This window comes from Homo sapiens, chromosome 1 (assembly GCF_000001405.40).
Source record: "Homo sapiens chromosome 1, GRCh38.p14 Primary Assembly".
Classification (NCBI taxonomy): domain Eukaryota; kingdom Metazoa; phylum Chordata; class Mammalia; order Primates; family Hominidae; genus Homo; species Homo sapiens.
In genome coordinates this window covers 82946753-82973386 of record NC_000001.11, presented here as the reverse complement: position 1 = coordinate 82973386, position 26634 = coordinate 82946753, and the positions used below count along the sequence as shown (strand labels likewise).

Sequence of the window (26634 nt, the reverse complement as noted above, 5' to 3'; positions counted from 1 at the left end):
AAACTCCACCTAGTCCTGCTAGAGGACGGCCTGGCCTCCTGCCGGCGTCAGTCAGTGTGCTCTTCCATTGGTGTGCTTCCCTCAACATCCTCTCAATGTCCGGCCACTTATCTTTTTCCGCCGATGTGTTCCTCTCGCCATCCAGCAGCTTCTGTCTCTGCCTTGCTAGGGTCTCAGGTTTTTATAGGCCCAGGATGGGGTTGTGGTGGGCCAGAGCGGTCTTGGTAAATGCAACATTTCTGCCTGTCCTCACCTAGGTCCGTGGGGGTAGAGCCCTAGTCAGGGCCCTCCTCTACCCAACACTTCCCTTCCCCCCTCCATATCATTTAAAGGGACCACGCCCTTCCCTTCCTGGCACTCTTGTATCACTATAAAAATAAAACAGTATAAAAGCTTGGAATGCAAAGAGCAGTAAACGCTGAGCTAGGATGGGAAGCCAGGCTCTAGATCCTCTGTAATAGCCCCTGTTATTCATCAGTCTCAGGTACAACTGGGAGGTCACAATTCAACCCATAATGAAAGCATCTCTATTACTGGCATTTGAGGCCTCCAGTAATCACTCCTTACCTACATAATCTAAGGTAACTCAAGTCATCAACATCAAATCTCTGTTCCAATCAAGTCTACTTATCTTCACTTAAAATGTACTCACTATGACTCTGTGCCTTGGCTCACGCTGTTCCTTTAGCATGTGTGCACACGCACTCAGGCACACATTCACACATGCTTTCTTTTGACTTTAATGTAAGTTCAATTTATTCTATAAAACATTCCCTGTTTATTAGAGTAAGAGTTACATCTTCAGTTTTGTTTGTAATTTTTATCACATGTACTGTGATTCTGAACAATCTATAAATATGTGTTGACAGAGCAGAATTTATCTGAGCTCCAAGCCCTGAAAAATGATAAAAAGAAACCAATATGCAAATATTTCAGAAGCTGAGGAACTATAACTTCGGGACTAGTTTTTTGTCGTGTCTGCATTGACAATGATTTTTAAAATTAAAGTGTAAAATCTGGAAAAAAGTATTAAAAATATTGAACCTACTGGTCAAGAAAAAATATTGAGGATAAATACAAATATGATTTGCATGGCATTAGACTTTGGAGAATTTAATAACATTAAATTCAAGATACCTTTAAATCTTTGTGTATTAATATTATTTAATTTTTATATCCTTCAATTCCAAAAAAGAATATAAAGAAATAAATTTGAATGTTTATTCACATTATTTCAGCCATTAATTATAATATACAGTTGACCCTTCATATCCACAGGAGATTGGCTCCTGAACCCCTGAGGTTACCAAAATCCGTGGATGCTCAAATCTCTGAAATAAAGTGGCATAGTATTTGCACATAACCTACGCACATCCTATTATATACTTTAAATCATCTCTAGATGACTTATAATACCTAAAACAAGGTAAATGCTATGTAAATAATTCTTATATGGTATTGTTTCCTCATTTGTATTTTTTAAATTGTATTATTTTTCATTGTTTTTTTCCCAAATATCTTTCAGCTTCTGATGGTTGAATCTGAGAATGCAGAAGCAGCACATATGGAGGACTGACTGTGTATTTAAAAGTGGTGGTTCAGTCATAGTGAAGAGAATGACTTCTTTCTAAATAAAATGAAGCAGGTGTATTCATCATTAAAGTGAAGAAAACATGTTTGAGAAAAGCAAAATGCCAAGAATTCATATGACATTTGCACCATCTCAAACTAAAGCTGAAGTGGCCTTGCCAATATTATTTATTCTAAATAATCACACAGAAAAACAAATGGCTTCTCAATAAAAAAATACTCCTTCTAGTTCCAACAATAATAGAGTCAGAAACAGGACTTGACTAAAACTGCAGTTGCCATTCCTGCTTTCCACCTTTTTCCAACTTTAAAAGATTTAAATACAATTTGCTTGTCTTTATAAACAACAGAACTAATCACCATCCGGGGTAGCAACCAGCATGTGTTGCTAAATTTGGCAGACTCAACCAGAATAAAGAATATAAAGAACAGTTAATAGAATCTTAATAAAGTTGCTGGTGTTTATAGGCATTACATTAGTTTGCTATGGCTGCCAAAACAAAGTACTGGAAACTGTTGGAAATTTAATGACTCTCAGTTCTCGAGGCTAAAAGTCTGAAATCAAAGGATTGGTAGGATCGGTTCCTTTTTAGGGCTGTGAGGGAAAGATCTGTTCTAGGTCATTCTGGTTTGTAGATTTTCATACTTACATGTCATTCTCCCTGCATATGTGGCTGTCCCTAAATTTCCCCTTTTTACATGGACACAAGTCATGTTGGATTGGGACCCACCTTAATGCCCTTATTTTAGCTTGATTAATTCTATAAAGATTCTATTTCTATACAAGGTCACATTTGTAGGTAGAGGGGTTAAGACTTCAACATATGAACTGGAAGGTCACAATTCAACCTATAACAAGCACTTTTCTCATTTTCATTTGGAGCGTAATTTAAAATTTTATTTTTTTGTGTAAATTCTATGGGTAACATAAATACCTATTCGGAACAATAATTAAGCTGGGTCTTCAAAACTGTATATATTTAAAATAATAAATGAAATTCCTAACAGGTTCTATGGTTGTTTTAATCTTGACATATGTAAAGTTCAAATGAGCTTGGAATCATGATATGACTATATATTAAAAATGAGGAATTGAAAAGTTACCTAAACATTGCTATATAAGTTCATGGGCAAAGTAGGCAGCTGCCTATGATGTGCAGGACCTGCTAGTAATTCCTCATGTCTCCAAAATCTGTATATTGTCAATTTCTGGCTAATATCTAATATTCCATCAAAAGAGTCCCTCACATGAAAATACATATATTGAAAGTAATGGGAGGTGAAGCCAATGGTTAATCACCAAAATTGTATTGCTACACTGTCACCTTCAAGTACAATGTACCAACACCTTTCACCTGAATTGCTAAAATAGGGTCTTAACTGGATGCATACCTTCATTCCTTTGTTTAGCAAATATCTGTAGGGCTTCTGCCAAGTACCAAGCACTGTCATAAATGTTTAGGGTATCTTTGTGAAGGAAAAATATACCTGTCCTTGCAGGGTTTATCTAGAAGGATATGGAAATGTCTGTTTTTTTTTTTTTTGTCTCTTTCCAATTCATCATCTACAAAATATCCAGAGTGATCATTTCAAGGAGAATTCTGATCTTGTCACTTGCTACTTAAAACCTTTTCATAATTTTCTTTGCTTTAGATTAAAATCCCAAAGCCCTGACATGGCTCTCAAGGCCCTGTGTAATCTGCTTCCTCCTTGACTCTGCCACCCCATGCATATAAGCTTTCTATCCCATCCACTCTGCTCCAACCACACTACCCTGCTAATCTAATGGTGATGATGAACAAATCTCTCCTACACTCAGAGCATTTGTATATTTATTTCCTTTATTTTAGGAGCTCCCTTGTTTTTCAAATGTCCATTTCCAACTCATCGTTCATATCTCAGCAGAAATATCATTTCATGGATGCTTCCCTAATGCACCAAACCAAGCACAGTTTCCCTCTGAAACCTATTTATAACTTCTGATTTATAATAATTGTGAATAAGTATGTGTATAATGTCTAGAATAAAGATTATGTATTTTTATAATTTTCTCTTTATACTTAGCACGGTACTGGATAAATGGAAAGAACTCAAAACATATATATTGAATATAAGAGGATTAAGGTAGAAGGGAAAAGAGAGAGACTACCCTGACTCTTGGTAAGGCAAAAATTAAACTGGAATTAACTTGAACAGGGATGGACACTAATTTAATGGGTAGAAGTTTGGGCCCTAGGCAGAAAACTGCAATTTACTTTAGTCAGCATTTTCCAAGTACATTCAAAAACAGGTTCATTCGAGGAAGTGCTTCTCAAAAACATGATGCAATGGTCAAATAAGTTTGTCTGCCTCTTAGATAGTGCCTATTAGAGTCTCCTATTAGGAGCTCTAATAATTCTTCTAGGAAAGAAACCTGTTTAACAAACCCCCCTCTTCCTCTAGAAAGCCTAATAGCATTGAAGAGTACCTCCTTGGAAATACTGTTTTAAGGTATAACAAGTCTGTTCCACTCCCTTGTCTTTTTAAGCTATGTAGATGGAAAATCTCAATCTGCATTTTTTCTTATCTCAAAAAAAAAAAAAAACCTAGAGGCCTTACCTTTAGAGGTATTATTTTTACTTCCCAATCAAAAATTAGTATGTAAAATCAGGAGTTGTAGCCCCCTCTTTAGAATATAGTATTTTCATAATTTTGGATACTTGGTGCATCAATATTTATAAATTTGTAGTATCATAATAAGTGGCTGCATACTTTCTACCTAGAATTCCTTTAGCTTAATTATTGTGGTATAGACCAGGAGTCTCCAGATATGTTGAGCCTATTACTTGTGTATTTTTATATGTAACATAAATGTACCACTACACTTTTATATCATTTATTTTTTGAAACTTTCCCTAAAATAAAATCTTTAAAGATTGAGGTAAAATTAATATAATAAGAAGTCCTAAAATTTTCTTACTATTATTCAGAGGATCATTTTGCATCCACCTTGGATTACATGCATGTACCTCACCTTAGAGATAATTCTTAATACTATGACTGGACTAGAACTTGCCAGAGCATGATAAGACCTAGGAATAAGGAATTATTCCATGCACTTGAAGCTTTATTGTTTTCATTTACCCTGAAAATTACTCAGCTACCGTTTATTGGATGTGGCTTATTTAGGTGAGTAGAGAGAACTGAATTCGGAGGCTTTAAAGAAGATATAGGAAGGTGAACAAAAGATTTATCTTTATAAACTTTGTGTCGGGATTGAGGTGTTGCATAATTTACTATCATGATGGTATTAGACTGAGTCCTGTCTTTTTTACTTTGGCTTGGGACCCCAGGAGGGTACAGTTTCAAAGGTACACAGTTCTCCTAGAAGACTAGACTATAAAGCTGTCTGATGATTTAGGGCATGAATCTACCAGAAGTTCAGAAAATAGAAGTTACAAAGAACCAATTCTAAATTTTATTCTATTGTGTTTTACTCAGGGACAATCCTGAAGAGTAAGTTGTTTCAATACTCAGAACACTAACAATAGTGTCTGGGGCAAATCGACTTGTCATATTGTACAGACAACTTAGTTTGATCCTCTATCCTGGCAGAGACTACATTCAGAGAAACCCTTAGAGGGGATTCATCACAGATTCATATGAAATCGTAAGTTTGAAGCTCCTGAGTTCCAAAGTCATTTATCATTAGATAAAAGCATCATCATGATTTAGATGAGTAGTATTGCAGAATGGTTAGGAATACAGGCCTTGATGGAAAACGGAAATGGATTTGGCATTAATTTCCACATTAAACAACTTAAAGGCTATATGACCTGGGATAGGATATCTTAGAATTACCATGAAATGTAAATAACTGAACAATCCCAAGTATCACCTTGAGTGAAGCACTCAGCACAATGATGCTATAATTAGCACATAATAAATGGTACGTAGTTCTTATTATTATTTATATTATTTTTACTTCTATGGAAGAAATGAGAATAATCTGTGATCCATAGTGTTTTTCTATGTAACAGGACCCTAAATTTGCTCTTGACAACATTTCATATATATATCCACTTGACTGTATTAAAGTTAGCGACCATATGAAAGCTGACAACTTTGATTAAGGAATTTTCTATTGGAACTTGACTTAATCTTTTAGTTTGAGTGGAAAATCTGGTGGTGAGTCTTTTTCTCTTCTGCAATTCTGTCAAACACCGTGATCCATGGAGACAGAAAGGAGAATTAAGCCAGGGAAATATACCATAAGTAAAAACTTTATGGAATTGAACATGGAAGCAACCATGAAAGAACTGTAGGAAAAAAAAAATGGAATCAACACTGCAAAGCCAAATGACTCCTGAATTCTGTATTGGCTGAACTTGAGAGTGAAATACTTTACACAAATTAAAATTCTTAAGGAGAATGAGTTATAAATAACATACCTATCAATCTTGATTTCAAATGATATTCTAGAACATCTGAGTTCTAATGCATTTGGGACAATTGTCAAAGTTCTCTACTGGAAAGTTTGTTTAAAATTTATCTGCAATAAATTTTATGGGTTTTATGTGTTATATTAGTCTAGTCAGCTGCTAACCCTGCAGGGGCAAGGACTGGAATTACATTTGTCATGATGAAGTAACTTGGAAGTGGAAATGATGCATTTGTCCTTTTTCTCCAAAGAAAACACGGATCTTTATAAAGTTATTTTTTTCTTTTACAAAATGGGACCCAGGTTCCATAATTTTATATGTTAAAGTAGACTCATTGATTGTTCTTTAGAGAATTGGGACAGTCTGTGAAACAGGCACAGAATGGAATAGAAATAGCTTCAGTAGAGATTTGATGTTCTAATTCATTCTCTGCAGAATTACAAATGCCCGTGCTTTCTATTGTGATACATTCCCCTCACCACACATATCTGCAAAAATCTGTGCAATATGTTTAGGAAAATAATATTCATTTTCAGGGTCTAAGAGATTCAGATTTCTTAACTCTTTATTATCCTTGAAAAATCAAGGCTAAGATGGACTCCTGAAGAAATTATTTTCTTAACATAGAAGTATGGCTAACGGAGAACACATGCAAAAGTTTAAGCTTTTCCAAACCAGCATAACTTCCCATGCATGCAGCAAAGACTGGCTATCATCAAACACCTTTTTTTGGGAACAAGTTAAAAGACAGTGCACACTCAGCTTGCACCACCAGAACTGGCCATCTAACCACGGTAAGCATTGGATTCATTATCCTAACATAACACCCTGAAGGCAAAATTGTAAGGACCTATGGATCATAACAAGATGGAGGTCACAGGAGAGCCATTTAACTCTATTCCTAACATAAGTTATTTATGAAAAAAAAAGATACTATTGAATTGTTTTTTGCATGAATGCTATAAAATATTTTTATTAAAAATAAAACAGCGATAGAAAAAAACACAAGGAGAGAGAATATCCCAAAGCAACCAAACACATTTAACAGAGATGAAGCCCATTCTATTTCCCTGGGGTGAAAATGTGTGGTTAAACATATGAGAAGGATATTTTACTTGGTGTATGTTACCCATCATAGTAGCACCAGCAGGAGCAGCTACAGAAAACGGCCCATTAGTTTTTCCATAATAAACTCTTTTTTCACTGGCACACCCTTGGGATTCCTTGACATTACTTCAGTAGAGTTATTGGTGGATGGCTTCAATAATTGGAACTCTCACAATCTGATATTAACATTCTCCCCATCACTTTAGTATATGCTAAATATTAGGAAATTTGATTTTCAGAGCATTCTTTCCAAGGTATGTGATTCCAAAAGACAAATTTATAAATTCAAAATGCTCTTTATATTTTTGCATTTTACATTTGCATTCCTTTCTCAAAGTAGCATGTCAAGACACCTATTCAATATAACTTTATCACGTTCAAGGAAGGACTAATGAATGAGAGTTAACAGCTCCCAGTTGCAGTCTCCAATGTGTCTAACTTATACCTAAGGCAATAGCCTCTGCACAAGGGAGTTCTCTGAAAATATGTGCCCTGAAGTGTACAAGCATAAATGAGAATTGGATGGAAGTCTTCACTGAGCTTAAAAATTTTCAGCAATTAATTGTGCCAAGCACCAGGAAGAAGACAGGGTTCTTAATGATAAAAAGAAATCATGATTGAATCTGGAAGCCAGGCATTTTATGCAACATAGCAGAGTAAGTTTAATCAGAGAAATATGCAGCCATTTAAGGAAGAACACAGAGGAAATGTGATACGAGATCACCAAAACACTGCTTGAAAATTTTTCTTAAAGTTAGTGAGAGTATTAGACTTCATCTGACATTATGTCTTCTCTAAATGTTATAATAGGACTGAACCTAAAGAGGTAAAAATGACCCAGGCAGGGACCAACAGGTCATTTACACCACATCTCCAGATTCTAAGTCTAATGTTCCATTACTAGAGTAGACATCTCTCTAGGGAAGACATGGTAGCATATCTCTAATTCACAGGATTAATTTGTATGTTATTGCTCCCTTTTCAAAGACCAAAATAGAATGAGGAGGGTGTGGCCAGAGAAATGACAACTATTAATAATTTCCTATTTCAATTTTGCTATTTAACAAAGGAAACAACTGCTGAGAGACCAGGAACTTAGGAAAAATGTCTAACTGAGGGTCTAAGAGAAAAGGCAAACAAGAAAGGAAAATAGTGAACGTATTAGGTACATGGAAAGATAGATGACAGTTTCCCATTAAAAATTTGTTAATAAATTTTACAGAATAGATAAGATTTCTCAAGAAAAGGAAAATGAAAAGAGAAAGAATAACCAGGAAAATTCAAAGTAATATCATTCAATAAACATTTATTAAACATTTCTTATGGGCCACGCATAATACTGGATACTAGGTGCTACAAAGAGATGTCAAAGTTCTTGTTCTTAGAGAGGTATTAGTGGAGTGGGAACACAGAAATTAATCAAATAATTACACTATAATTAAACCCAAGTCAAGTGCTCTGTGACAAGAACATGATTCTATGAAGGGTTATGAGAAAAGCTTCTGAACTAGCCTGGTAAATCAGAGTTTCCTACACAAACTGATATTTGAGCTGAAATAAAGGACAAATAGGAATCAGGCTAAATAAATGGGCCAAAGAAAATGATGTCTCAACAGCTAGGGGGAAAAACTGTGTGAGATGGGGCTTTGAACCAGAGACTATATTAGCACATATTAAGAAGTTAGGGCCAGGTACAATGGCTCACACCTGTAGTCCCAACACTTTGGGAGGCCAAGGTGAGTGGATGGCTAAAGCCCAGGAGTTTAAGACCTGCCTAGGCAACATGGAGAAAGCCCATCTCTACAAAAAATACAAAAATCAGTCAGGTATGGTGGTGCTGGCCTGTGGTCCCAGCTACTCAGAGGCTGAGGCTGAAGGATAGACTAAGCCCCAGGAGAGGTCAAGAGTGCAGTGAGCCATGACTGCACCACTGCACTCCAGCCTGGGTGACAAGAGTGAGGCCTTATCTCAAAAAAAAAAAAAAAAAAAAAATAGGTGTTTTTAGTAGTTTCATTGCATTAATGACCCCAATTTATCACACCTTTATAAATCCATGCCCTTTTTCTAGTGCTTTACCATAATGACTCCACTTGCCATGTGACTTTCTTTGGCCAGTAGAGCAGTAACAAACCAGACCCAGGCAGAGACTCAGAAAAGCACATCCAGGCTGCTACTTTCTTTTCCTCCACCAGAAGAATCTGCATGGGGCTACCCTGCTGAATGAGAAAATGTGGAGCAGAGCATTTTTATCAACTCAGCCCCTTCCAGTTTACCCAGCCACTAGCCACACACCTGGGAGAGCCCAGCCAAGATCAGCCAAGCAGTCTAGCTCATTTATAAATGGTAAGTAAATCCTGCTAAGCCCTCTCTTCACATCAGCAGAATTCCTCAGGTGAGTCCCAGAAGGCTGCCCAATTAATCCACAGATTTGTGAACTAAATAAATATTTAATATTTTAAGCCACTAGGATTTGTGGTTATGTTAGGCAGCATAAATATAATATAGATAATGGAGACAGTGGTAAATGTAAAAATGGATTGTACAGTGGTATATGATGTGCACAAGATGGAATAATTTTCAGGCTATCACAACAAGATAAACTGGCAGCTTGGATTAAGTGATAGTGAAGATGACAAAGGCTACCAAATCAAGGCAATTGGAATTTAATTCTCTAAGAAATGGTGAACTTTTAAATGCCTTAAACAAACAAATAGTGACATGAAAGAGCTTCTGCTAATTTAGGAAAATTAAATTGACCATGTTTTCATGAATGGCTTATAGTAGGAGAGTAGAGGGACAGAATACTAGAATGAAAAAAAATTGGAAGAAAGAAAAACGATTAAATGCCAAGGGAATGTCTCCACCACATGATAGCTAATTGAACAGCCTCATTCAATGAAACCATTCTGAGGCCTATATTCAATAACATATTCTCATTCTTAAAAAGTTGCTAATTCTAGATGTTTGGAGCTTAATTCAATGCTCTTTTGACAGTCCAACCTCAATTAGTGGTGACTTGAGAATGGAATATAATCCATGGATTAAGGCAATGTTAAATTAGCTTCAAGACCCTTTTGCATTTAGTGGTCATGTGAATAAGAAATTAATATGAAGATATAAACAATTCAAAGGGTATAGAATCAGTTTTAATGCCCACTTTGCCATTGCTGGCAACAGGTTACTCCTTTCTGACTTTCCAAAATGTTCTCAATTCCATCCTTACAATCATAATAAAAACCATATCCATAATATAGACAAACACATTCTGTTTCCTCGGTAAGTGTTTAATCACCCAATGATATTCATGGGTATGTTATAAAATAGGAACTGTATAGGGCAGTAAACAATGGGCTTTAATCTTATCTCCATCTATCTAAAGCCAATCCCTCCACTTTTACAAAGATACCATTTCCTCTTGCTTGTTTAAGGATGTCATTCCAGGAACTCCTTGAATTCTTTGAATATCACTCCAGTAATACTTCCCTCTTCTTCTTATGTTAATATTTTTCTCTCTTTCTCCTTTTCGTTGAAATAGATGTACATAAATATATAGATATGTCTAAGTTCTTAAGTTTACTTGCTCCACTTTCCCTGTCTCTTATCCATTTATTACTTAGTTGTATTTGTTGAAAAACTCTGAGGGAATGACCTATTCTTGTAGTTTCTAATTCTCTCTTCCCATTGTCTTTTAAATCCACTCAAGTCAAGCCTTTGCCTCCCTCACGCCATCAACACTACTCTCTTCATGTTTACCACCAATCAACAGCCACTCTCAGCAGCAATCCTACCTCCTTGATAGATCTTTTCTCATTTTCATTTAATACCACCCAATGCCTTGATGTTCATTCTTTCTCACTGGTTTCTCTTTCTCAATCTTGCTTAAGCATTCTATTCTTCTCCCCAGTCTCTTAAAGTTGGGAAGACTCCCACATTGTTTTTGGTCTCTTCACTCTCTCTATTCATGCTTTTGGTGATCTTGTCCAATCACATGAATTTAAATATAACCCATATGGCAACAACTCACAAATTTATATCTCCAGCCCTAGCTTTTATCCTAAATACCATATTTGTACCCCTCTCTAGTTAACTACCTACTTGAATGTCTAATGGACATCTCAAAATCAGTATGCCCCAAACTAAGCAACAGGTGGTTTCACCTGCAACCTTCCGCATCTCAATTGATGAAAACTCCATCCAATTGCTAAGCATAAAAAATTATTATTATTGTACTATTATATCCAATTATTATCATGATTATTACTAACCCTTGACTCTTACTTTTCTCTCATAATTTGCATACATCCAGCATATCCTTCTAATTGGATTCACCCTTTTCTTCTGACATTCTATTCTCAATACAGTAGACAGAGTGCTGCTTTTAGCGTTTAAGATGGATCATATCATTTCTCTGCTCAAAACCATCACAATGGCTTCCATTTTCATTTTCCTCCAGACTAAAAATCAAATTTCTTTAAAAGTATTAAATTGCCCCTTCCCCTGTACCTGAATCCAGTTACCTCCTGCCCTCAGCTAGTAATATGGTCTCCTTGCTTACTTTCTACTACAGCTATAAGCTCTCCTTACTTTTCCTTAAATTTGATGACCAGACTATCACCTCAAAAGATGTGCTCTCATTATGTTTTTTTGCTTGGAATACTCTCTTTCCATATATATTCATGTGCGTCTATGTGAAGAGACCACCAAACAGGCTTTGTGTGAGCAACAGCGCTGTTTATTTCACCTGGGTGCAGGTGGGCTGAGTCCCAAAAGAGTCAGCTAAGGGAGATGGGGTGGGGCCGTTTTATCAGATTTGGGTAGGTAAAGGAAAATCACAGTCCAAGGCGGGTTGTTCTCTAGCGGGCAGGAGTGGGGGGTCACAAGGTGCTCAGTAGGGGAGCTTTTGAGCCAGGATGAGCCAGGAGAAGGAACTTCACAAGATAATGTCATCAGTTAAGGCAGGAACAGGCCATTTTCATTTCTTATGTGGTGGAATGTCATCAGTTAAGGCAGGAACCAGCCATCTGGATGTGTACGTGCAGGTCACAAGGGATATGATGGCTTAGCTTGGGCTCAGAGGCCTGACATTCCTGTCTTCTTATATTAATATGAAAAATAAAATGAAGTAGTGGTAAAGTGGTGGGATGGTGAAAATTTCGGGGGATGGTATGGAGAGATAATGGGCAATGTTTCTCAGGGCTGCTTCGAGCTGGATTAGGGGTGGCGTGGGAACCTAGAGTGGGAGAGATTAAGCTGAAGGAAGATTTTGTGGTAAGGGGTGATACTGTGGGACTGTTAGAAGAAACATTTGTCATTTAGAATTATTTGGTGATGGCCTGGATATGGTTTTATATGAATTGAAAAACTAAACGGAATAAGAGAAGGAGAAAAACAGATATTAAAGGTCTAAGAATTGGGAGGACCCAGGACATCTAATTAGAGAGTGCCTAAGGAGATTCAGCGTAGTCCTGCCAGCAAAGATTATTTATTTACTTCAAGAGTTAAGAGTGGCAGTTTGGGGATAGCACCAGGAGATACCAGCTGTGATGGCTTGGAGAAACAGTGTAAACCGGCAGTGTAAACAAGCGCAGGGCATGTATGAGTAGTTGGGAATGATGAATAGGAGTATGACTAGACAGAAGATAGTAGGGATGACAAGTTTTTTGGGGCACAGTCCAAGTTGTTCTGGTGTCTGGAATGAGACTGGGGCTTAGTAAAAAGGAGCGTCCATACAGGAGCTCAAATGGGCTGTACCCTGTAGCATTCCGAGGACAGGCCTGAATTCTGAGAAGGGAAAGTGGTAAAAGTATTGTCCAGTCCTTTTTAAGTTGGTGGCTGAGCTTGGTGAGGTGTGTTTTTAAAAGACCATTAGTCCGTTCTACCTTTCCTGAAGACTAAGGACCGTAAGGGATATAAAGGTTTCACTGAATTTCCAAAACCTTGAAAAAATGCTTGGCTGATTTGGCTAATAAAGGCCGGTCTGCTATCGGATTGTATAGAGGTGGGAAGGCCAAACTGAGGAATTATTTCTGACAGAAGGGAAAAAATGACTGCGGTGGCCTTCTTAGACCCTGTAGGAAAGGCCTCTACCCATCCAGTGAAAGCGTCTACCTAGACTAAGAGGTATTTTAGTTTTATGACTCAGGGCATGTGAGTAAAGTCAATTTGCCAGTCCTGGGCAGGGACAAATCCCTGAGCTTGATGTGTAGGAAAGGGAGGAGGCCTGAACAATCCCTGAGGAGTAGTAAAATAGCAGATGGAACACTGAGAAGTGATTTCCTTGAGGATAGATTTCCAGGATGGAAAGGAAATGAGAGGTTCTAAGAGACAGGCTAGCGGCTCATAACCTACATGGAAGAGGTTATGAAATGATGACAGAATAGAATGGGCCTATGAGGCTGGAAGGAGATATTTTCCTTGGTCTAAGAACCATTTGCCTTGTGTGGCAAGAGATTGATAGGTGGAAGTTTCAGTGGGGAAGTAGGTGGGAGTGACTGATGTGAAGGAGAAAAACTGGCAGGGACAGAAGTTGGAAAGCTGGCTGCTTGTCTAGCCACCTTATCAGCATAAGTGTTGTCTAGAGCAATGGGATCTGATGCCTTTTGATGGCCTTTGCAGTGAATGACTCCAGCTTCCTTTGGAAGTAAAGCGGTCTTGAGCAGAGTTTTTATTAAAGAGGCATTAATGATGGAGGACCCTTGCATAGTGAGGAAACCTCTTTCAGCCTGTATAACAGCATAGTGGTGCAGAATATGAAAGGCATAGAGTCACTATAAATATTGATGCGTAGCCCTTTTGCAAGAGTGAGGGCTTGAATTAAGGCAACTAGTTCAGCTTGCTGAGAGGTAGTGGAGTGCGGGCAGAACGGTAGCCTCAATGATAGATGTGGAAGATACTATAGCATAGCCTGACTTTGCTGGTGAGTGGCAATTAGGCCTGATGGAACTGCCATCAATAAACTAAATGTGATCAGGGTGAGGAACAGGAAAGAAGGAAATATGGGGAAACGGGGTGAATGTCAGGTGGATCAGAGAGATAGTCATGAGGGTCAGGTGTGGTATCCAGAATAATGTGGGAGGCCCGAGTGAAGTCCGTGCCAGGAACAATGGTAATTGTGGGAGACTCAACAAAGAGTGAATATAGCTGAAGGAGCGGGGGAGCAGAAAGTATGTGTCAGGTACGAGGAAGAAAATAGATTTTGGAAGTTATGAGAAATGTAGAGAGTGAGTTGAGCATAGTTTGTGATTTTTAGGGCCTCTAAAAGTATTAAAGCAGTGGCAGCCGCTGCACGCAGACATGAGGGCTAAAACAGTAAGGTCAAGTTGTTTGGACAGAAAGGCTATAAGGTGTGGTCCCAGCTCTTGTGTAAGAATTCTGACCACACTAACCATGGCTAGGAAGGAAAGGAGTTGTTGTTTTGTAAGGGATTGAGGTTTGAGAGATTAGTCGGACACGATCAGCAGGGAGAGCACGTGTGTTTTAATGAGAATTATGCTGAGATAGGTAACAGATGAGGATGAAATTTGGGCTTGACTGAAGTAATGGGGGCTGTCTGTGAAGCCTTGCGGCAGTACAGCCCAGGTAATATGCTGAGCCTAATGGGTGTCAGGGTCAGTCCAAGTGAAAGCGAAGAGAGGCTGGGATGAAGGGTGCAAAGGAATAGTAAAGAAAGCATGTTTGAGATCCAGAATAGAATAATGGATTGTAGAGGGAGGTATTGAGGATAGGAGAGTATATGGGTTTGGCACCACGGGGTGGATAGGCAAAACAATTTGGTTGATAAGGTGCAGATCCTGAACTAACCTGTAAGCCTTGTCTGGTTTTAGGACAGGTTAAATGGGGGAATTGTAAGGAGAGTTTATAGGCTTTAAAAGGCCATGCTGTAACAGGCAATTGATAACAGACTTTAATCCTTTTAAAGTGTGCTGTGGGATGGGATATTGGCAATGAGCGAGGTAAGGGTGATTAGGTTTTAATGGGATGGTAAGGGGTGCATGACTGGTCGCTAAGGAGGGAGTAGGGGTGTCTTATACTTGTGGGTTAAGGTGGGGAGATACAAGTGGAAGATGTGAAGGAGGCTTTGAACTGGGGGAAAAGGCAGCAATGAGGTGTGGCTGTAGCCCAGGAATAATCAGGGAAGCAGATAATTTAGTTAAAGTGTCTCGGCCTAATAAGGGAACTGGGCAGGTGGGGATAACTAAAAAGGAGAGCTTAAAAGAATATTGTGTAAGTTGGCACCAGAGTTGGGGAGTTTTAAGAGCTTTAGAAGCTTGGCCATCAATACCCACAACAGTTATGGAGGCAAGGGAAACAGGCCCTTGAAAAGAAGGTAATGTGGAGTGGGTAGCTTCCATATTGATTAAGAAGGGGACGGGCTTACCTTCCACTGTGAGAGTTACCCGAAGCTCAGCGTCCATGATGGTTTAGGGGCTTCCAAGGCAATTGGGCAGTGTCAGTCTTCAGCCGCTAAGCCAAGAAGACCTGGGAAGGAGTCAGTCAGAGAGCCTTGGGCCAGAGTTCCAGGAGAGAGCCTTGGGCCAGAGTTCCAGGGGCTCTGGTAGTGGCTGCCAGGTGAGTTGACAGTCCGATTTTCAGTGGGGTCGCACACAGATGGGGCGCGGCTTAGGAGGAATCCTGGGCTGCAGGCATTCCTTGGCCCGGGGGCCAGATTTCCGGCACTTGTAGCAAGCTCCTGGGGGAGGAGGTTCTGGAGGAACACCTGGCTGCTGCAGTTCAGGTGTTTGGAAGTTCTTGTGTGCTGGTGATGTGGCTGGGGTTTGTCTCCCAGTGGAGGCAAGGAATTGCAACTTTTTTCTATTATTGTACACCTTGAAGGTGAGGTTAATTAAGTCCTGTTGTGGGGTTTGAGGGCCGGAATTTAATATTTGGAGCTTTATTTAAAGTCAGGAGCAGATTGGGTAATAAAATGTATATTGAGAATAAGAAGGCCTTTTGACCTTTTAGGATCTAGGGCTATAAAGCATCTCAGGGTTGCTGCCAAAGGAGCCATGAACTGGGCTGGGTTTTTCATATTTGATGAAAAAGAGCCTAAACACTAACTGATTTGGGAGAGGTCAGATAAAGAAAAAGGAGCATTAACCTTGACTATGTCTTTAGCTCCAGCTACCTTTTTAAGAGGAAATTGCTGGGCAGGTGGGGGAGGGTTAGTTGAGGAACGAAACTGTAAGCCGGACCGAGTGTGAGGAGGGGAGGTGACAAAAGGATTATAGGGTGGAGGAGTGGAGGCTGAGGAAGAATTGGGACCTAGCTCAGCCTGGGGAGGAGGGGAGAGTTCAGATGGGTCTGTAGAAAAGGAATATTAGAAAGACTCAGCGACACTTGGGGTTGGAACTGAGGGGACAGGCGGGAGGGAAAGAAGGAGCATTTGGGAGGAATCACATTGGGAACAGAGACTAAGGAGGGAATGAAGTGTGAAAAATGCCTGGATGTAAGGCACCTCAGACCATTTGTCCATTTTTCAACAAAAATTATTTAGGTCTTGTAGGATGGAGAAATCGAAAGTGCCATTTTCTGGCCATTTAGAGCCATTGTCAAATTTGTATTGGGGCCAAGCGGTGTTGCAGAAGAAAATAAGGCATTTAGGTTTTAGGTCAGGTGTGAATTGAAGAGGTTTTAAGTTCTTGAGAACACAGGCTAAGGGAGAAGGAGGAATGGAGGGTGGAAGTTTGCCCATAGTGAAGGAGGCAAGCCCAGAGAAAAGAGAGAGTAGAGACATGGAGGGAAGGGTTTGGGGGTTCTTACCCTCCAGAAAAGCGGGAAAGGGGTCGGGACACGGAAATAAGGGGTTGGGGTGTGGAAATAAGGGATCAGGGTGCAGAGATAAGAGGTCAGGGCATGGAAATAAGGGATCGGGGTGCAGAGATAAGAGGTCAGGGCACAGAAATAAGGGATTGGGGCACAGAGATAAGAGGTCGGGGCATGGAAATAAGGGATCCGGGTGCAGAGATGAGGTTGGGGTGTGGAAATAAGGGATCAGGGGTTTCTTGCCCCCCAGAAAAGCAGAGAAGGGGTAGGTAGAGACAGAGAGAGAAGGGGTCAGGGTTCTTGCCCCTCCGCCAGAAAAGTGGGACTTGCCGCTAAGGGTGAAGGACCAAGGCAGGCGTCCCTGCGTGGTCAGACACCTCTGAAACGTGGGTGATAATCAGAGAGGCATCCCTGCAATGATTAAACATCAAGGGAAGGCTGCCTTCCTGAGTTCATGACCGGCGCCAGAGTTATGGGTCCACGGATAAAACGTGTCTCCTTGGTCTCTACCAGAAAATGAAAGGAATTGAAATTAAGAGAAGGGAGAGATTGAAGGGTGGCGCCAAGATTGAAAGGAGAAAGTGATTGAGGGATAGTGAGAGAGGTTGGAGAAGAGAGTAAGAAGAGGCCCCCTACCCGATTTAAAATTGGTGAGATGTTCCTTGGGCTGGCGGGTCTGAGGACCCGAGGTCATAGGTGGATCTTTTTCACAGAGCAAAGAGCAGGAGGACGGGGGATTGATCTCCCAAGGGAGGTCCCCCGATCCGAGGCACAGCACCAAATGTCATGCGTGTCCGTGTGAAGAGACCACCAAACAGGCTTTGTGTGAGCAACAGGGCTGTTTATTTCACCTGGGTGCAGGTGGGCTGAGTCCGAAAAGAGAGTCAGTGAAGGGAGGTAGGGGTGGGGCCGTTTTATAAGATTTGGGTAGGTAAAGGAAAATTACAGTCCAAGGCGGGTTGTTCTCTGGCGGGCAGGAGTAGGGGTCACAAAGTGCTCAGTAGGAGAGCTTTTGAGCCAGGATGAGCCAGGAGAAGGAATTTCACAAGATAATGTCATCAGATAAGGCAGGAACAGGCCATTTTCATTTCTTTTATGGTGGAATATCATCAGTTAAGGCAGGAACCGGCCATCTGGATGTGTACATGCAGGGCACAGGGGATATGATGGCTTAGCTTGGGCTCCGAGGCCTGACATATTCACTGCTAATTCCTTAATTTTCTTTGAATTTCTGCTCAAATGTCACTTCAATGATGCTGCCTTAACCTCAATATTTAATATGGCAATCTAACTCCCTCCTGCAAACCCTGGCACTCCTGATTCACTTTTCCCTATCCTACTTTATTTCCTTTTTCCGTCTAACACTTATTATCTATGAATACACTAAATAACTTATTTATTATGTTTATTGTTTGTTTTCTGTCTCCCTCTTCTTGAATGTAAAAGCAGTGAGGTCAGAAATCTTTGCTCTGTTCAATAAAGTGTTCCCAAGAATAAACAAAGCATGCCACATAGAAGACACTAAATAAGCTATATGTTGAATGTATGAATGAATGAATGAATAAAGTGATGCTCTGAATTATTTAAAATGGCATGTCCCATCTCTGCCACAACTAAGCCCTATGTGTGTGCTGTGAATTATTTCTGTGGCTACAATTAATGCTTTTTTCTTGGCTCTTAGAACAATTTTTGAATGTGAATTAAGACATCCTTGTCTCATTTTATCCTTTTTAATTTAATTGCCAACCATTACAGCCACTTCATTTGCAATATGGAGGCCTTGCCCTCATCAAATATAAAATGTAGGAATAAATGACAGTACTGAGTGACCTGTTGGATGTGGGGAATGTACAGTGATACATAGGAGTCAAAACCTTATGAGTTAGATAGGACAGAAATCTAGTTGAGTGACTTACTCAGAGTTACACAGTGATCAGCAACAGAATGGGAGAATATAAGATTTCTGCTTTCTGATGAAGGCTATCCTCACTAGAACGAACTTACTGCTTATAGTCTAATTCAAAATTTCAGAGGTTACTGACTGACTTCCAGCAAGCTCAGACCCCTGATGCTACAAGCTCTAGGTTCTCCTGCTCATCACAAGTCCACGTTGGACAGTCTCCATGGTTTGAGCCCTCATCAACATCCCCTTTCGTCTCTCCTGATATATTCAAATTGAGGACACAAGGTGTTTGAGTCCTTGTATATTTTAGCATATCTTTATAATAACTAGCTTGGTGTTTGCATGCATGCATGTGCACATATACATGTAATGTGGAAAAATTCAAAGAAATGATGAATTCAAAGAGATAATGAGGAATTGTCTATGGTAAAACATGACTAACATCATACTGACTCTTTACTGAAAAGCATACTTCAACTCTGCTGTTGTACCTTTTTTCTTATATCTATCCTATATGAGCGCAAGTTCTTATATGTTATTTATATTTCACCTGCATTTTGTTCAAGAGTTGTTCTATGCTTAGTGAATCTTATATATGTTTATATTTCACCTGTGTTTTATTCAAGAGTTGTTCTGTGCTTAGACAGTTCTATGCTTAGAGCCTAACCAGCTAGATTGCAGAATATTTCAGCTTTCTAAGCTGACCCCTGATTCTCACCTAAACACTTGGTTAATTGGTACAGATGCAAAATTATGAACAGAAAGAAAACCTTAGAGTGAATGCAAATAAATGAATGAATAAACAAGATTAAGTACTGGGCAATGCTCTTCACTAAACAATACTGAATGGATGGCTAATGTAATAAACCCAAATGGTAAAAGGAGATGCCATTTCTTACAATAGCTTCTTTTCGATACTTTAGGTATTCAACATTTCAACCACTTTTAAACCATTATCTGCTCTCATGTTCACATGAAATAAACTGCCCAGTAGATATTTATTTAAAGGGGAATATTGACTTCTGTCGAGGTTAAGCTATTTACTTGAAAGAATGGCATTCGCAGCAACAGTGTTTGAAACTTCTTCACTGTAGTGATTCTAAATTTCCCACCACAAATGTAAACTAGTACAGCCACCATGGAAAACAGTGTGGAGATTCCTTAAAGAACTAAAACTAGGACCACCATTTGATCCAGCAGTCCCACTACTGGGTATCTACCCAGAGGAAAAAAAAGTTATTATTTGAAAAATATACTTGCATGCTTATTGCAGGACAATTCACAGTTGCAAAATTGTGGAATCAACCCAAATGCCCATCAATCAACAAGTGGATAAAGAAACTGTGATATATGTATAAACATATATATATATATATATATATATATGATGGAATACTATGCAGCCATAAAAAGGAATGAATTAACAACATTTGCAGTGACCTGGATGAGACTGGAAACTATTATTCTAAGTGACATAACTCAGGAATGGAAAACCAAATATCGTATGTTCTCACTGATATGTGGGAGCTAAGCTTATGAGGACGCAAAGGCATAAGAATGATACAGTGGACTTTGGGGACTTGGGGGGAATAGTGGGAGAGGGGCGAGCAATAAAAGATTACAAATATGGTGCAGTGTATACTCCTCAGATGATGAGTGCACCAAAATCTCACAAATCACCACTAAAGAACTTACTCATGTAACCAAATACCACCTGTACCCCAATAACTTATGGAAAAATAAAATAAAATAAATAAATTTCCTACCAATTATATCCAAAGGATGTGGTTCTTTATGTTTACAACTTCTCAAGGACCATGTTATTTCTTTTCTTTATCCATTTTCTAGTAAAGTATCCTCTGTAACACTATTTACCTCTTCCCAGTTTCTCTCAGTGATTCTGTCTTCTCTTTCAGAATCTTCATTTGTGACCTATGTTAGAAAAATACTTAAATGGATAGCCCTTAACTTATTCAAAATTTTAACCAATTTATTTAAATATTGTAACTAATTTATTTAAATATTGTATTTGTTTAAATCATGTCCCAAATGTCTATACGTCTTTATTTTTATAAAGACAATATATTTCTGTAAGTGAAATAACACATATATAAATGATTTTGTAGAGTAATATCATCTTTCATGTAAACAAATGCAAAGTATTTTGATAGTGATAATAAGGATTATATTAGATTTTCAGATTCTTTTATTATACTGCCTTAACCATCATATTAACTATGATGAATTCTACAGCATAGAAATATTGGAAGGATAGCTGAAAATGTATTTTTTTAATGAAGTGTGTGTCAGCAAATTAGAAAGAGATTACCCCTCTCCTCCTGCAATATGGTTTGATACCAGCACGCCTGTGTTGGTGGGCTTGAGATAACTTAAATAGAAAATGAGTTTATTCTTCACTTTTTCATTGAGTCATTCTGTGACTAAAGTTGGGCCTTAGTGTCATTTCTCTTATCTTCCATTTATTTATCTTTAAAATGGCCATAATGGCACTTTTCAATAGGAGTTTGTGGTTGGACACTAAATAAATAAATAATAATAACCCTTTATAAACACAATGCTATAAAAATATAGAGTGCTTAAAAAACTCATTTTTTTCTAGGTAGAAAGCTTACTTAACTAACGTTCTATTTGAAAAGAACTCTACAAAAGACAGTCCGTTTATCTGAATGCTCTCTCTAACATTAACACAATTCCAGGTGTGGTTTTGTTTATTCTTTTTGGTCTAGCAAGTAAAAATGTTTTTAATTTCTCTAAGTGTAGATTTCTAGGCAAAGATGACAGATATTTAGTGTTTTGAAGAATTGTTTAGTTGGGTCTGAAATACATACTTTTAAACTAAGGAAACGGTTTCAGTGAAGGAGAAATGAAGATAAAAGGTATGGTCATCTGATGAAATAAGGTCCATGAGTGAGTTAGAGAATGTGTTGGTGGGTGTGGCAGAGAATGACAATATAGAAAGCAAAATGGAAAAAGCAAGAATGTGATTGTTAGATTGTCTCAGTACACATAACGGGGCAGAGTCTAGGTGAAATTTAAGGGATTGGTGGAGGAGAAAACTAGGAAAGACCCTGACAACAACTCAAAGACATTTCTTGGTGGAGTGAAGGAAAATGATGTAAGGGCTGTGCCTTAAGTAACTTTTCTCTGAAAGAGGAAGAAGTAAATTAATCTGCTGTGAGAGGATAACCATGCTAGGAAGAATGCTGTTTGAACACTACTGAAGAATAAAATGACTATCAACAGGCTTATATGAAGCAGACTAAGCTACCTTTATAATGAGACCAATTTTTAAAATATGTACAGAATATATTGTTTTCTGATATTCTGTATTCCCTATTATTATCAGCATTTAGCTATTTAGTTAATATTTAGATATCCCATTAATATTGTCCTTTAATATTTAGATATTTTTGGAAAACTGGCATGCTAAATAACTAGGACTGTGGGAGTAACAGTACCCTCCACCCTATGCAGGCCACATTACAGTAGGAGTATGGTGTCCAGTTCCAGATGTCCCACTTAAAAGGGCCATTGACAAGCTAAAAGCAACTACAGAGAACAGAATACTGAGGGCTCTAGTCACGCCATTTGAGAAATACTTTAGGAAAAGGAAGCTGTTCTCCTAAAAAAAAAAATCAAAGAATCGGAAGGACTCTTGATCATCTGCTTGATTTGGGGAGCTTTCACATTCTCTGGGAGATGCAACAACGTGGAAGTTTTCACTGTCTTTGCTGAAATGAGCCCTTCTCATGAGATCCTTTTTTCCTTCTGTCTCCAGGAACAAAGGATCTGTAGTTGAGGCAGCTAGATGGGGAATATAATTATCTCTTTCTGTCTCTAAAACTATGATGATGTTTAGAGTTAGCTATGTAACAAGTATCTCTCTGTTCTTCGGAACACAGAGTATCTTTTGCCTAGTTTTCAAGATCCTAATGTTTTGCCCGACATTATATATCCCAACTTTATTCTTCTCCGCAATGTAGTCAGGCTAATCTCCTTACTCCATCTATACGTCCAACAGCAGATTGTTCTCTTTCTATTTTAGTCTCTAATTTGGGTTTCTGTTGCTATATAAAAAACCACCCCGAAACATGGTTATAGCTTTTTATTGAGATAATTTTATAGATTAATTTGGGGTGTCAAGTAATGCTTTTATTTTTTTCCTCAAGACTGAATTAGGAATTCAGGCAGGATTCAATTGGGATGTTTTTCAGCTTCACATGGCTTCATTGGAGTCACTCATTTAATAGTCGTCTTTCAATATTAGAACATAAAGAGTACTTTCTTTATAATGTCTTTATTGCCTTTTTTTTATGAATGCATCCCTCTACTTAACTAGTCCCCCACTGATGGGTATTTAGATTGTTTCCGATTTATTTTACTTTTGCCAACATTGCTGTAATTAACATCCTTTGCAGACTTATTTGAGTCTCTGTTGGATGAAGTGTATGAGGGGAATTGCTAATTAAAATATAAGTTCATATAAATATTAGTACAAATGGATAAACCAACAAATGTCAGGACCAACTTAGAAGATTAACGCTTTTCTATTAATATCTTCTTTCCATTTCCATTCTTATAGTGAAATTTATCACTACTATTTTAATTTGTCTTTCTTTGAGTATTAGTGAGCTTGAGCATATTTTATATGTTTAATGATCATTTGTAGTCTCTTCTTTGAATTGTCTCTTCATATCATGTTTTAATTTGTATTGGAATATTTTATTTTTTGTTTTCTGTTACATATGTAGGCAGTAGGATATAATAAAGATATAAAGTGTTTGACAACTATAGTTAATAATATTCATAAATAAATTCCCTTTCAATTTTTTTATAATGTATTTTTCCCATACAAAAGTGATTAAAATGTTTGAAGTAAAATCTGATATTTTTCTTTTGTGACTTCTGGGTTTTATTTTATACTCCTTAATATTCTCAAATATTTGCCTTTTTTTAGTATTTTGCTGCTTCATGTTTTATGTAAATATTCAATGTACCTGGAATTTATCTTTTTGAATGCTATGACGGAGATTTTATTTTTCTTGGGTAGATAGCCAGCTGATCCACTGTCATCTGTTTAACAATGCATCCTTTCTCAACAAACATGGAAAATCAAATTTACTATACTTTGACTCTGTACTGGACCACAGCTGACTTGTCTCTTCCATCACAAATACCAAGTTCTTTAACTTTTCTAGCTTTAGAGTATGTTTTAATATCTGGGCAAATGTTTCTGTGTTATTGTCAATTCTGGGCATTCTTGCAGATCCATTCCTGTAAATGACGCTTAGAAAACAAATGTTTATAAATGTGTCATACAGAGTTATAGCTTCTTATTGAGATAATTTTATAGATTAACTTGGGGAAAATATAAATTTTTATAATATTTAATCTTCCTGGCAAAAAATATTATAACTTTTATTTTACATTCATATAAATGTTCTTTTATAATGCTAAGTTTTTATACAGTATTTTATATATTGTTTTATTCTGCAATAAAAGTTTATCTCATTATAGTTTCTTATTGCATTTCCTCTCTCGCTATTGCTGTTACATAAGAAAGCTGGCACTTTTTTACATTATCAAAAATACTTTACAGTACCAAACTTATGCATTGATCAAATATTGAACCACTTTAATGACTTATCTAATTGTTCTTTTGGCTTGTCAGATGATTAACAAATTTTCTAGGTAACCATTTATATTATGTTCAAATAATAATCATTTAGGTTGTGCCTTTAAATCATAAGTATTATTTATTTACTTCTTATTTTAGTCTTAGTACATTGGCTAGATCCTCTTGAGTAATAGAAAATAAATTTTAACCAATTTAATACTTAGGAGAATATGTATTTTTAAAAAGAGTTAAATTTCATTGCCATCTGTGAATTTAAACATGATACCAGGCACTGTAATAATTAATATTGTGTGGAATGAAAACTAGGAATAGTTGGCCATTTCCTAAGTGAAACTTGTACATCCAATGTGCACTTGGCAATGTTTCAGGAAATCATAAGATTGAGAAAAAAATGCATTAACTTCTTTGGCAAAATAAACGATTCCCATCTGACAACTGGAGATTATGATTTTTTGTTTTGATTTTTATTATTTTGTGTTTGTCTTTCTTGGATAAAAAGAAAAGTTTTAAAGGAAAATAGAAAAAAATGGAAAAGTAGGCAAAGTGAGAACTGAAGCTAATGAAGAAGCCACAGATAGACAGCCTGAACGGATCTATGAGTTGTTATCAAATAATAAAAATGGAAAATGTGTAACTTGAAGGAAGAGATCACTTCTTGTTTTGGTATTCGTCTTTAATAACCAGTAGAACGACTAGCACATAGAGAGTACTAATAAATATTGTTAAATGAATGAATGAGGAATTAGTGCAAATAAATGGACTCAGTATCTATATTTAACCCACAGGGCAAGTGTGTTTACCTCCTAATAATTCACACAGATACATTAAGGTCTAATGTTAAGATCTTCACTACGAATCTCAGTGAATATGAATTAGTGGCTACTTCTCCAACTAAGACAAGTAACGCATTAGTAACTAATGAGTTACTAATGCTAGTTGATGATTAGGGGGATTTCAAACTATCTACTATTGGTTTAAAGTTGCTTGTAACTTATAATAAACAAATGCTGTTAATTAAAAAATGCATGCATCATGTAAATCTCAGAATACTTTCTTTGAGGCAAGACTATAGAATCCGTTCACATGACAAATTTGTGTAAGGAAAGCTACTGTCTATATCACACCACAGGAGAAGCCTTTTAGTCATGACTGAAAGAAATTTAAGTGTCTAAGATCTTTGCATTGAAGAACACATTTCTAAGCCTCAGTAAATTGATAATGCCTAAATACAGGCTTTTGACCAAGGAGGTTTGGAGCAATAAATGCACTGATGATTCAACCAAGCTTTAGGGTACTCATTTCAAATGTAACAGTATTGTACTTCCACATAAAGCAGAGATAGAACATCAAAAAATAGTAATTACTACAAAACTTCTAACAAACTAAAACAAAATCCTGTGGCAACAAACTGTGTAAGGAGATTTCACATGCTCTGATTTGCTCACAGCTGTGGGCTTCTGTCATGCTTTTCAGATGGTGCATTAGTTCAAACATCCCAGATTACTGAAATGCATATTATTGATGTGAGTAAACTTCCGTATAGTCTTTTTTTTTTTTTTTGCTGAATTTTGTTGTATATTGGAAAAACATGGAAAAGAGAAAAATAAGTTCTACACTTAGCTATGATTAGCTCAGTGCCTGTGAACATGTTATTCGTGTAGCTTAATTTCTCTGGGACCTAAATGTGAAGTGAGCTGTTTATCTCTAAGGCTGATCCTAGCAGACCTTTCTTAGCTAGGTAAGGCCAAATGGGAGTGGGCTTTGATGGAGTTGAATGCTGAAAATTGAACTTAGTTGTGGGTAATTTCACTCACAGGTCTAAATTCATTAAATTCTTAGTCAAGCAATCTAACCAGAAAACCCAAATTAAAGAGAAGAATAGAGTAAGACATTGGTTGAGACAGGAATATGGTTAGAAAAAAAGATGAGACATTTGATTTGGGCCAGAAAATCTTGTGGTTTAGAGTCACTCTGCTTAAGAGGTCAATTTAGGGCACTGTAAGCAACATCATTTTGGTGTGTGCTGGAGGGCTGAGTGGGAGAGAGTTGCAAATAAAAATGTTATATTAATTCTAAAAACCTATGGCCCCCTTCACTAGAGTTACCATGCACAGCTGTCAAACCTACAATTCTCAGCAATATCTGGAATGATTCAAAATCACAGGTTGTATTGGTGTGGTTCGATTGGGCTG

General features: G+C 37.7%; 1 long non-coding RNA gene across 1 annotated transcript in view; it reads right to left on the bottom strand.

Moving 5' to 3' along the window:
• LINC01362 (long intergenic non-protein coding RNA 1362) overlaps positions 1–26634 on the bottom strand; it is a 263633-nt gene that overhangs the window by 193429 nt on the left and 43570 nt on the right. The window lies entirely within an intron of this gene.